Source organism: Homo sapiens, chromosome 18 (genome assembly GCF_000001405.40).
Source record: "Homo sapiens chromosome 18, GRCh38.p14 Primary Assembly".
NCBI classification, from domain to species: Eukaryota; Metazoa; Chordata; class Mammalia; order Primates; family Hominidae; genus Homo; species Homo sapiens.
Genome location: NC_000018.10, coordinates 62,819,310 through 62,833,529, shown reverse-complemented (window position 1 = coordinate 62,833,529; position 14,220 = coordinate 62,819,310). Strand labels below are relative to the sequence as shown.

Genomic DNA, 14,220 nt, shown 5'->3' with positions numbered 1-14,220 from the left:
CTAGGGGAGGCAATGAGATATATGTAAAGAGAACACAGGTAGAAGAAACTCTGGTATTGATATCCCCACAGTTCCTAAATTCAGTAGTGGCTGACAATTCTTCAATTTATTATACTTCATAATTTAACAAATATTAATTAAAATACAGTATTATCTGGCCAGGCGTGGTGGCTCACGCCTGTAATCCCAGCACTATGGGAGGCCGAAGCAGGCGGATCACTTGAGATCAGGAGTTCAAGACCAGCCTGGCCAACACGGTGAAACCCTGTCTCTACTAAAAGTACAAAAATTGGCCGGGCATGGTGGTGTGCACCTGCAGTCCCAGCTACTCAGGAGGCTGAGGCAGGAGAATCGCTTGAACCCGGGAGGCAGAGAGTGCAGTGACCCAAGATCGCACCACTGCACTCCAGCCTGGATGACAAAGCAAGACTGTCTTTTTAAAAAAATAATAATAATACATTATTTAAAAATCTATGTTAAATTCTATAGGACAAGTTAAATACAACATTAAAACTGCATAATATAAATGTATCTATTAAATACTCTTTCAATAACTAAATTTTGAGAGTTTTATTTAACAGCAAAGCCATATATGTAAAGTAATGACCATGCTCACGTGGTATGAAACCACAGCAATTCTAACTAGGTTATGACCAATCTATCTCACACCTTATTTCTAAATCTATAGCTCTTCTATATCTAAATTAAAAAGAAAAAATAAAACTCCTTTCATTCATACTCTCAGTTTTTTCTTTAACAATAGAACAGGATAAAAAAAAACAACAACAGACAAAAATTAATGAAAGCTCAAATTGCAAGAAATCAATTATTTTTCCCTAACTCAGTCAACAGATATTAAAGACTCAATTTTTCAATGTAGTCAATTATTTTTTAAAGGCATAGTATAAAACAGGTTTTACAAGTTTTGCTTGTGAAAAGAGGAAGCTATTAACTTTCAATTCACTCAGTGGTAGAAGACCATCCAGTAACAGACCTGGGAAACAGGACAAGACTCTAGTACTGAATGAAAATGCTAATTATAACCGGATCTGCTGACCTTATCTGAACATTCCATGTGCTTTCCTGCCTCTGCCTCTATAAGCATAATAATCTTTCTGACCATCTCCTTCACATGTCAAAAGACTTTTCATCCTTCAAATTCTATCATAATTGCTACCTTTCATTACAAAATTCCCTCTTACCCGAAAAAATGTAATCTCTCCTTCCATTAATCCCCCACAGTACCTTCCTGCATCTTTCTTACAACAGATATCATTGTGCCTACTTCATCTTCTGATACAAAATCATAAGCTCTTCAAAGGCAGGCAGGGTTATTTAGCTATGTTAGTATTTCTGGGGTGCCAAGCACAGTGCCTTCCCCAAAGAGGATACTGAATAGTTATATTAGATTTGCCTATGCAAACACCCAGCATCACAAAGAGAGAGACTGTTGACCTAACAAAGTATCAAACATTAAATATGCATTTTTAATAACCTATAGTGGTAATACAGATGAGTATTTTTTCAGTAATCCATCCATCCACAGGGCAAAATCTTAGTATATCAGTCACTAACTCTTCAATGCTCCGACAAAAGTTAAGCAGCATTGGTTTCAAAATGAACGACTAAAATCAATCTAAACGCATCTTGCACAGCCTGACCAAAACCTATTTTTGAAAATGATCAAGTATTAGCCTTCTTGAAACTAGAATAGAGAGGAAAAAACTAACATAGGCTATTTATTCATAAGGAAAGACTACAAGAATGTGCTTGCTACACAGCAGTGAGCAACAAAACCATTTATTACCATACACATGTGGTCTTACTTCCTTCACTTACAACCCTTGAAACAGATCAGACATTTAGACAACCAATTAACAAATGGTTTACTTAGGCCAGGCACAGTGGCTCATGCCTGTAATCTCAGCACTCTGGGAGGCCAAAGTGGGTGAATCACGAGGTCAGGAGATCAAGACCATCCTGGCTAACATGGTGAAACCCTGTCTCTACTAAAAATACAAAAAATTAGCTGGATATGGTGTCATGCGCCTGTAGTCCCAGCTACTTGGGAGGCTGAGGCAGGAGAATCACTTGAACCCGGGAGGCAGAGGTTGCAGTGAGCTGGGATTGCACCACCACACTCCAGCCTGGGAAACAGAGCAAGACTCCATCTCAAAAAAAAAAAAAGAAAAAGAAAAAGAAAATATTTGCTCAATGTGCCCCCAATGACCCATTTTCTCATCCAAATCCTAATTTCCATTTATTAACATATCACTTAAAAATCAAGAAATACTGACCTATAAGTATGGTGATGCTACCCTTACCAATGCTTGGGACTTTATAAATAACTCTGACAAAGAAAATAATGTAACATTTCCCCAAGTAATCTGGTTCTATTTTATAAATAATAGCAATAAAATAGTTAACATACCCAAAGCAAAGAAATCAGTAATGTCAAAAATATATCCGTTGCATCACATTTTCTCCGAAATGAGAAACATTTAAGATTCAAAATTTATAACTAGGCACTTAATAAACTAAAAATGCTAACCCCACTGATCACTAAACACAGATAGGGGAAAATGTGGTCAAAGACTTAAGCACTATAGACTCAAACCCTCCGCATGTGTCAATGTTTCTAAATTCACGAAATTAAGGATGAGTATACTCTACTAGAAAATGTATGCTTAAGATATCAACTCATAAGTAACGAATTTATCATCTAAACTCTGACATATGACAATAAAATTCTACCTATTTTCTGTCCAGTAGGTAAAATGCACATAACTAATGAAACAATAATCATCAAGGCCTCACATGAGCCAATGGCACTGTTTTTTCCCCACAGCTCCACCAACCGACAACACCCACAACAGGAACTGAATAAGACCTCAGATGAGTAAAAAATCATCTACCCCATATCACAGAAATGGCTCAAAGTAAGGTCCTTACTGATGGTGGGAAACCTGTTAGTATTTTGTTTGTTTTAAACTTACTTTTCGGCCTGGCATGGTGGCTCACACCTGTAATCCCAGCACTTTGGGAGGCCGAGGTGGGCAGATCACTTGAGGTCAGGAGTTCAAGACCAGCCTGGCCAACATGGTGAAACCCCATCTCTACTAAAAATACAAAAATTAGCCAGGTGTGGTGGTGCACGCCTGTAATCCTGGCTGAGGCAGGAGAATCGCTTGAACTCAGGAGGCAGAGGTTGCAGTGAGTTGAGACCACGCCACTACACTTGAGCCTGGGTGACAGAGTGAGACTCTGACTCAATAAACAAACAAACAAACAAACTTACTTTTCCACCAATTAGTGGCAGAACATGCATCTTTCCGGTCAAGCTGTCTTTCACAGATGATACTATCAGGCAGGTCCCACATAGGATGACTTGGCGTCTTGTCCATCGGTTCACTGGCAACTGCATCTTGCCTTTACGGACATTATACATTCCTGAGAGCTGAATCCGTTCAGAGCTACCCGTGCTGTGAGGTTTTCCTGAAATAAACAGAAGCAAACATGTTATTCTTTTAAAATGGACCCTTTTCCTACTCATCTACATAGCAGATATATGAATTGGACAACAAGGGAATAATTCAAGGGAAAATTATAAATTCAATCTAATTTATAATTGAGATGACAACTGTCATAATGGAATTATGGTAAGAACTACATCTCCACATGTACACGTAACAATAAGTGAAGAGCCTTTTCCATAAAATCATAGGAAAACACCATTTTAACTCTTTGTTTTAACTAGAGGTTTCTTTTCTTTTTTTTTGAGATGGAGTTTCGCTCTGTCACCCAGGCTGGAGTGCAGTGGCGCAATCTCGACTAATTGCAACCTCTGCCTCCCAGGTTCAAGCAATTCTCCTGCCTCAGCCTCCCATGTAGCTGGGACTACAGGTGCCGGCCACCACACGACTAAATTTTTTGTATTTTTAGTAGAGACGGGGTTTCACCATGTTGGTCAGGCTGGTCTCAAATTCCCGACCTCAGGTGATCCGCCCGCCTCAGCCTCCCAAAGTGCTGGGATTACAGGCGTGAGCCACCACGCCTGGGTTGGAGTTTTATTTTCTTGCCTATCTTTCACAAGTTAATTTTACATTTGAAACGACTTCATGATGTTTATGAATGGTTAGATTTAAATACACTAAGAAGAAAGTATTATAGCCTGAGATAGGAAAATAACATCCAACATCTTACATTTAATAAAACTAATCAGTTTAATAAAATTAACTGCAGAGTTTTTCCTCCTACAGATATTCAATGTATATTTACTGTAAAGGAAACATTAGAAAAGAAATATTTTTCTTAAAAAAACACTATTATTTCCTATTAGAAATACTATCCCAGCAATCCATGAAGAATGGGTCCTACAATGCTTATGACTCATGGTAAGGAGCACAGAGACAGAGAAATAAGCAATGAGGCTGAAAGGCAGAAAGAGAACTGAGAAAGGTCTGAAGAGTCTTCACTTCCCAAATGGAAACGAATTTGGCAGAATTAGTTAGGCAAGTCTTATCAACTTAATGGGAGAACTACTGTGATTGACATGAACATAGTGACAGTCATATAAGCAACCAGAAAAGTATTTCCCCATTTCTAGATACTGAACAGATAATTTCAGAGTACCAAAGCCTCTGCCCAGAGATAAGTTAATAAGAGATATATGTACTATAGTAGGACCCCAGTCAGGAATAACATATTTATTTAGAAGTTGGACTAGTTGCCAAGGGCTAGCAAAAGAAATAGGTTCAAGATAAATTATATTCTTATTAATATTAAAAACCAACATAAATACCAAGTGGTTTTGATACATGTCTAAAACCTATTAGGGAACAGGAAGAACAACAGCTCTAAAAATAAATAACAAGAAACTCCAAAGAGTATCTGAACGTTCCCAATACATACTTTGGGCACAGATGTTAGGAAATAAGCCACAGGTTCGAATTTCACTTCTTCTTTCTCCCATATCAAAATGTTTTATAAAATAAATACTTCACACTACAAAATTTTGCTGAGGCTGGGCCAGGATGAAGTATAACAGTGATTCAGCTACTTGAACCAGGTGCCCAGCAAACAGCTACACTGTTAGAGCTCTCACTGGAAAGGTACCATATTGTTTGTCTACCACATGTTAGTTTTCCCACAAATGAGTAGGAAGCCCAGAAGATTATTTAAAACATGTGAGATGTGACAGGCCAAGGGCTGCCAATGATGGATCAGACACAGTGATTCACATGTCCCATTCTGCACAAGTTCATTTATATCTAGAGAGGAAGATGCCGGGGTTTCCAGTCTAAGAGCTCCTTACTATATGACAGACTCTCTTCCTGTGGGGAAGAAGTAAGAGAGAAGAAAAGACAAAGAATAATAAAAATGAAAAGCAAGTGAAGGACTAAAAACAATGGACAATAGGCAACTGGGTTTCCAAACTCCAATTTCCTTGACATAATAAACTAATGCTAAAAAGGGATCTGATCTACACACACACACACACACACACACACACACACACACAAATGCAAAGAAGTAGGCATTTTATTCAGTCCATCAGAGAGTGGCTTCAAGAATACTTGTTAACCTGTCACATTTATGCAGCTCTATGAAGAACCAGAGACTGGAAGAAAAGGGAACAGGGGTACATAAGGGCTGGCCCTTCAATTCTCCAACTCCATATACATCCTACAGAAAGCCCCAGAGCAAATCACCAGACAGACTGGACAAAGGCCAGAAGGGATCTTTAACAGAAGAGTATGGATACATCAGTAGATACTGGCTCTTTATTCCCTAGTCAGAAAAATTCCCAAGAGTTCTGAATTGTCCTGGAGCCCAACAGTCAGATCAGCCTGTCCTTGGAAAACCCTAAAGATCCCAGTATGAATTAAATCCCTCTGGTCTTGCTCTGAATGAACTTCAATGTCCCTATTGTCTGTCCTCTCCCTGGGTGTACCAGATCAGACACATCCTTAGGACATGGCTGTGTACTAAGTGGGCCCTGGGGAATATGGAGATGAATGAGGTAATATATACCTAGACAATCACCCAGGTGCACCCTCCTTTTTAACAGACTTCCTTGTTCTACAACATAAGGAATATTTTTGCTCTTCCTGCCAATTCTCAAAATTCTCAACTCAGAGGAATTCCAGTTGCCCTATTCTCTAATAAACACTGACAATACCAAAGTAACTCATGTCTGCCAGTTTAAAGCTGGGTCAGTTGTAACTTTTACTTTAGAAATGTTACTCTAATTCCCTACAGGCTTAAGGCATTTTTACATGATCCAGGAGGAAAAATAGACGTAAAAGCAAACATTTCAAGCTGAGACAGAAACATAACAACAGAGAGTGATTTGAAAACATATTCATATACTTTCTCTTTTACTTACGCACTTGGCACATAGTAGGTAAGGTGATCTATACTAGTCTATTTAAAAACCAGGCATGGGACCACTTGTAGAAAATTACAGCACAATGCTAAAGAATCAAACTAGAGCCTCTGGATTATTTTATTTTATTTATTTATTTTTTGAGACAGGGTCTCACTCTGTCACCCAGGCTGGAGTGCAGTGGCATGATCTCGGCTCACTGATACCTCCGCCTCCCAGGTTCAATTGATTCTTCTGCCTCAGCCTCCCAAGTACCTCGGACTACAGACGTGTGCCACCATGCCCGGCTAATTTTTGTATTTTTAATAGAGACAGGTTTCCCCATATTGGCCAGGCTGGTCTCAAACTCCTGACCTCGTGATCCACCCACCTCGGCCTCCCAAAGTGCTGGGATTACAGGCATGAACCACCGCGCCCGGATGGCCTCTGGATCTTGATTACATACTCAAGGCTCCTCTCCCACACCAAAATGACAGTTCTTATTTCACATAGTAAAATTGTTTTTTTAAAGAGGGGGCAAAAAAGAGCATCTAATGTCCGTTATAAGCCACTATGCTAGATGCTAGAGGTATCAAGAAAATGTTCTCTGCGCCAAATTGCTTAAAGCAAAATCTATAAAAATGTAGTCCAAAAACCATATAAAGCAAAACCTCTAAAAATGTAGTCCAAGGACCACGTATATTAGTATCACTTAGATTTCTGTCTACTACCGCAGCCCTAGATTTGAAACATTGGTAGCCAAGGCCTGAGACCTGCACTTCCGCAACCACAAATAGATGCTTATATTTTGTGACCATAAATCTAAAATAATAAAATAAGTCATTCCCCAAGGTCAGCTTATTTTCTAACAAATGTATTCTTCACATTCATGAATTCAGGATTTTAATTGTCATCTCCGTAAGTAAGCTAGTTCAATCTTTTCATGTCATATAAAGCTACCTTAAAAATATGATGAAAGCAATGGACCTCCAGAAAAAAAAAAACAAATAAATAAATATGCACAGACATCAGATTTGTCAGATAACTGTAGTAGATTTATTTGACCATAACCATGAGAATAAAGGATGGTGAAATCACTCAATAACAAGAGCCTATTCCCATTTCTTTAAATCACATTCCAAACATGAAGAAGTGGTGGTTTAAAATTAATTTCTCCTATAGCCGAATTTATTCTTACAAAATTATTTCTACTTTAATTGGCTCGTCACTTTGCCTTTTATCTTTTTCATCTCTTCTTTCACATAGTTTACCTATCTCAGGGGGCCTAGCCTACCTAGCAAACTATTTAGACAGATAATATTTATCTTGATAGACATTTTTTCCAATAAAAAAAGCTGAGTATTATAGTGATAGGTCTACTGTAATTGCTATAATTAAAAATGTATCTGGGCCAGGTGCAGTGGCTTATGCCTGTAATCTCAGCACTTTAAAAGGCCAAGGTGGGAAGACTGCTTGAGCTCAGGAGTTCAAGACCAGCCTGAGCAACATAGTGAAACCCCGTCTCCATAAAAAAATTAGCTGGGAGTGGTGGCAGGCACCTGTAGTCCCAGCTAATCAGGAAGTTGAGGTGAGAAGTCTGCTTGAGCCCAGGAAGTCAAGGCTGCAGTGCACTATGATTGTGCCACTGCACTCCAGAGCCTGGGAGATGGAATAAGACCTTGTCTTTAAAATATATATATTATATAAATATATTATATATAATAAATATAATATGTAATAAAATATAAAATAAATATAATATATATTTATATAATATATAATTTGGTTGATATATTTATATATATACATACATTGGTTTTTAAAGTATTTACAATTTTACATCAGAAAGCCAAAACTAACATCTTAACCAAAAAGTAAAACATTATTTGAGAAAGTACATATTGGGCTGGACACAGTGGCTCATGCCTGTAATCCTAGCACTTTGGGAGGCTGAAGTGGGTGGATTACTTGAGGTCAGGAGCTCGAGACCAGCCTGGCCAAGATGGCGAAACCCCGTCTCTACTAAAAATACAAAAATTATTCAGGCGTGGTGGCAGGCGCCCATAGTCCTAGCTACTCGGGAGACTGAGGGAGGACAATCACTTGAACCCGGGAGACTGAGGGAGGACAATCACTTGAACCCGGGAGGCAGAGGTTGCACTGAGCTGAGATTGTGCCACTGCACTCCAGCCTAGGTGACAGAGCAAGAGTCTGTCTCAAAAAAAAAAAAGTATATATATTGGCTCATTTGACCACTGTTAAAAAAAATGGGGGGTGGGGGTGGTCCATTATAAGTAAAACTTTAAGAAAACTGAAGCAATATACTTTGTGTGCCTTTGTTGGGGTTGTTTTACATCCTGAATGGTTTAAACATTTATTTTCACAGTAAGACCTTGTCATTTTTTTCAGAGCCAAAAAGTCACTGTTTTGTGAAGTATTTTTCTAGTGCCATGAATTGTTTTTGCAAAATGCTTTCTATGATAGAAACGTCCACCTTTTAAAAATCTTCCACTTTTTTTTACAGATTTATTAATGTATAAAAGACATACAGTAAACTACATAAAGTATAAAATAAGATATGATGTATCTACACACATGAAACCATCACCAGAAAATAAGTATATTGATCACTGCCGTTTCCTCATGTCCCATTGTGATTTCTCCCTCCCCCTATATCCCTCCAGAGTTCCTCCCGCGCTCAGGCAACTGCTGATCTGGTTTCTGTCACTTTCATCCATGTTGTTGCAAGAGTTCATTATTTTTTGTTGCTGAGTAGTATTACATTGTATGAATATACCACAGTTTAACCATTGATCTGCTAATGGACACTTGAATTCTTTACAGTCTTTTTTTTTTTCTATTTTGATGGAGAACACTGGTGTACAAGTCTTGGTATAGACAAATGTTTTGATTCCTCTCGGGTAAATACCTAGGATTGGAATGGCTGGTTTGTACCATTTTACATCCCCAGCACCAGTGCAGAGAGTTCCCGATGCTCCACATCCCTGTCAACATTTTTTTTTTTTTTTTTGAGACGGAGTTTCGCTCTTGTTGCCCAGCTGGAGTGCAATGCCATGATCTCGGCTCACTGCAACCTCCACCTCCCAGGTTCAAGCAATTCTCCTGCCTCAGCCTCCCAAGTAGTTGGGATTACAGGCAACCGCCACCACGCCTGGCTAATTTTTGTATTTTTAGTAGAGATGGGGTTTCACCATGTTGGCCAGGCTGGTCTCTAACTGCCCACCTCAGATGGTCCACCTACCTCGGCCTCCCGAAGTGCTGGAATTACAGGAATAAGCCACCGCGCCTGGCCCCCAGTCAACACTTTTAGCCATTCTAGTGCATATGTAGTGGTATCTCCTTATGGTTTTAAGTTGCATTCCCCTAATGACTAATCATCTTCTCGCAAGTTTGTGATCCGCATATCTTCTTTGCCAAAGTAACTATTCAAATCCTGTGTTCAATTTTAATTGGGTTAAGTCCTTTACATATTCTTAACATAAATCCTCTGTCAGATATCTATATATATCTACATATATATGTAGATATATATATTTATGTAGATATATAATATATGTAGATATATATAGATATATATATTTGAGACAGTCTTGCTGTTGCCCAGGCTGGAGTGCAGTGGCACCATCACAGCTTGCTACAGTCTCAACCTTCTGGGGTCAAATGATCCTCCCTCCTCAAGCCTCCTGAATAGCTGGGACTACAGGTGCCCGCCACCATGCCCGGCTAGTTTTTTTCTATTTTTTGTAGAGACAGGGTCGCTATGTTGCCCAAGCTGGTCTCGAATTCCTGCACTCAAACAATGCTTCCACCTCGGCCCCCACGTGTTAGGATTATAAGCCTGAGTCGCTGTGCCCAGACTTCTGTCAAATATATGACTTGCAAATATTTTCTCCCAGTCTGGCTTACTTTTTTATTTTCTTGAGAGTATTTTCAGAAAGCAAAAGTTTCCATTTTAATAAAGCCTAATTATTTGATTCGTCTTTTATAGTTAGTGGTTTTTGTGTTGTACTTAAAAAATCTTTGACAAACTGAAGGCCAGTAAAATTTTCTCCCATGTTTTCTTCTAGAAATTTTATAGTTCTAATTCTTACATTTAAGTCTATGATCAATTTCAAGCAAAAATTTCTATTAACAAAATCAAGAAATAAGGCTGAGATTTGGTCTGGGTCTTCTTTTATGTTTGTTTTTATTTTTGGCAAAAGGCTACATCAATTGTTCTAAGACCACTGGTGAAATTCCTACTGAATTGCCTTGGTACCTGCAATAAAACTGAGTTGCCAATAGTTATATAGGTCAATTTATTGATTAGTCCTTCCATTACTCTATTTGTCTACCTTCATACTATCTTGAGTAGTGAATCTTTAAAATTATTTGTGAAACCAGTTGGTATAAATCCTGCTCTGTAAAAAAGCACAGTTACAATCTGGATGCCTTTTATTTATTTTGCTTATCTCACTGCTACAACCTTGAACAGAAGTGGTGAAAGCAGACATCCTTTCCTTTTTCCTGATCTTAAGGGGGAGGCATTCAAATTTGTGCCATTTAAAACACTATTGGCGGCCAGGCGCAGTGGCTCACGCCTGTAATCCCAGTACTGTGGGAGTCCGAGGCGGGCGGATCATGAGGTTAGGAGATCGAGACCATCCTGGCTAACACGGTGAAACCCCGTCTCTACTAAAACTACAAAAAAAAAATAGCTGGGCGTGGTGGCGGGTGTCTGCAGTCCCAGCTACTCAGGATGCTGAGGCAGGAGAATGGCATGAACCCGGGAGGCAGAGCTTGCAGTGAGCCAAGATCATGCCACTGCACTCCAGCCTGGACCACAGAGCGAGACTCTGTCTCAAAAAAAAAAAAACAAAAACAAAAAAAAAAAAAACACTATTTTCTACAGATCCTCTATATTGAACTGAGGAAGTTTCCTTTTATTCCTAACTTGCCAAGTTATCTTTTTTTTCTAAATCAGAAAGGGATATTGGAGTTCCTCAAATGCTGTTTCTGCCACCAACTAAGATGATTATGATGAATTTAATTGATAATATTTTGCTTTAAGAAACAGGGTCCTGGTCCATAGCCCACACTGTGCAGTACCACAATCATGGCTCTGTGTAACATCAAACTCCTGGGCTCAGGTGATCTTTCTGCCTCAGCCTCCTGAGTGGCTAGGACTACAGCTACATACCAGCATGCTCGGCTAATTAAAAAAAATTTTTTTTTGTAGAGATGGGCATAGTGGCATGCGCCTGTAATCCCAGCTACTCAAGAGGCTTGAGTAGGAGGTGGGAGAATTGCTTGAACATGGGAGGCAGAAGTTGCAGTGAGCCGAAACAGCACCACTGCACTCCAGCCCAGGAGACAGAGCAAGACTCTGTCTCAAAAAAAAAAAAAGAACATACATTCTTATTATCCTTTTAATATCTATAGAATCTGTAATGATGTCACCTCTTTCATTCCTGATATTGGTAACTTGAGTCTTCTATCTTTTCTTGATCAGTTTGGTTAGAGAACTACCAATTTTATTAAGCTTCTTAAAGGTTTTATATTCACTGATCTTCTTTTTCTTTTTTCTTTTCTTTTTTTTTTTTTTTTTTTTTTGGATAAAGGGTCTCACTCTGTCACCCAGGCTGCAGTATACTGATGCGATCTCGGCTCACTGCAACCTCTGCCTCCCAGGCTGAAGTGATTCTCCCAGCCCAGCCTCCCAAGTAGCTGGGACTACAGGCATATGCCATTATGCCCAGCTGACTTTTGTACTTTTTGTAGAGACAGGGTTTCGCCATGTTCCTCAGGCTCACTGATTTTCTGTTATTTTTGTTTCATTTATTTTTTTCATTGTTATTGCTTATTGCTTCTTTTACTAACATATATTTTTTCTTTTTTAAAGACAGAGTTTCACCATGTTGCCCAGGCTGGTCTCAGACTCTTGCACTCAAGTGCTCTGCCCACCTCAGCCTCCCAGTGTTGGGATTACAGGCGTGAGCCAACGCACTAGGTCCATCTTTTACTAATTTTGAGATTCTCTTCTTTCTAAACACTGCTTAACTGCATCCCATAAATTCTGGTATATTGTGTTTTAACTTTTCATCCGTTCATAGTACTTTCTAATTTCCTTTTTATTTCTTCTATCACACATAGCTATTTTGGAAGTATGTAATTTAATTGACACGTATTTGAAGATTTTCCAGCTATCTTTCTTTTATTGGTCTCTGGTTTAATCCCATTGTGGTCAGAGAATGTTCTTTGTAGGAATTAATTTTTAAAATATTTTGTTCTCGCCTTGTCTTACAGTGCTGAATTAAAAACAAAATAAACTTACTATACTTGTTTTATAGTGTAAAATACAGTCTATCTTGGTTAATGTTTGTATTAGTTTTCATACTGCTATAAAAAACTGCCTGAGACTGGGTAATTTATTAAGGAAAGGGCTTTAATTGACTAACAGTTCAGCATAGCAGGGGAGGACTAAGGAAACTCACAATCATGGTAGAAGGGGAAGCAAAGCACCTTCTTCACAAGGTGGCAGGAAGGAGAAGTGCTGAGCGAAGGGGGATGAGCCCCTTATAAAACCATCAGGTCTCATGAGAACTCACTCACCATCATGAGAATGGCATCGGGGAAACTGCCCCCATGATTCAATTACCTCCATCTGATCTCTCCTTTGACATGTGGGTATTATGGGGATTACAATTCAAGATGAAATTTGGGTGGGGACACAAAGCCTAACCATATCAATGTTCCATATGTACTTGAAAAGAATGTGTATTTTGCTATTGCAGAGTGCATTATTCTATAAACTGAGGTCCAGTTGGCTAAGAGTGCTAGTCAAGTCTTCTATATTTTTAATAATTTTGTCTACACATTTTTTCAAAGATTGAGAGAAAGACATTGAAATGTTTTGCTATAATTGTGGATCTGTCTATTTCTGCTTGCAGTTCTACCAGCTTTTGATTTATTTATACTGAAGTTCTATTTAGGTGCATAAACATTTAGGATTGTTATATCTTCTTGATGTATGGATTGCTTTATCATTATAAAATGACCTTCTTTATCACTGATTATACTGTTTTCTCTAAAATCTACTTTGTCAATACAAATATAGCCACTCTATTTTTCTTACAATCAGTGTTACCAACATTTATATTTTTTCATCTTTTTACTTTGAACCTATATGGTCTTTATATTTAAAATGGGTTTCTTGGCCAGGCACAGAGGTTCACACCTGTAATCCCAGCACTTGGGAGGCCAAGGTGGGTGGATCACCTGAGGTCAGGAGTTCGAAAAAAGCCTGGCGGCCAACATGGTGAAACCCCTTCTCTACTAAAAATACAGAAATTTGCTAGGTGTGGTGGCAGGCGCCTGTAATCCCAGCTACTCGGGAGGCTGAGGCAGGAGAATCGCTTGAACCCAGGAGGCAGAGGTTGCAGTGAGCCCAGATTGCACCATTGCACTCCAGCCTGTGCAACAAGAGTAAAATTCTGTCTCTAAATAAATAATAATAAAATAAAATAGGTTTCTTGTAGGCAGCAGTTACCTCTTTTTTTAAATCTGATAATCTGTCTTTTAACTGAAACATTTACTCCTTTTACATTAATGTGACTGCTGATAATGTAAATATAGATGTGTTTGAATTGAAATTGACCATATTATTCTTTGTTTCCTACTTATCCCATCTGTTCTTTGTTTTTACTCATTTTATGCCTTGTTTTGTATTAACTGATTCCATTTTATCCCCTTGGTTGGCATATTAACAATTCATTCCCTCCTGCTTTCTTCTTAATGGTTGCTTTATGGTTCATTATATACATTTTGAACACACAATCTACCTTCAAGTAATA

General features: G+C 38.6%; 1 protein-coding gene across 1 annotated transcript in view; it reads right to left on the bottom strand.

Moving 5' to 3' along the window:
• PHLPP1 (PH domain and leucine rich repeat protein phosphatase 1) overlaps nt 1–14,220 on the bottom strand; it is a 264,893-nt gene that overhangs the window by 146,904 nt on the left and 103,769 nt on the right. Inside the window, exon 2 of the mRNA NM_194449.4 lies at nt 3,299–3,495. Coding sequence (NP_919431.2) covers nt 3,299–3,495 — 197 coding nt within the window. The remainder of the gene's footprint in view (nt 1–3,298; nt 3,496–14,220) is intronic.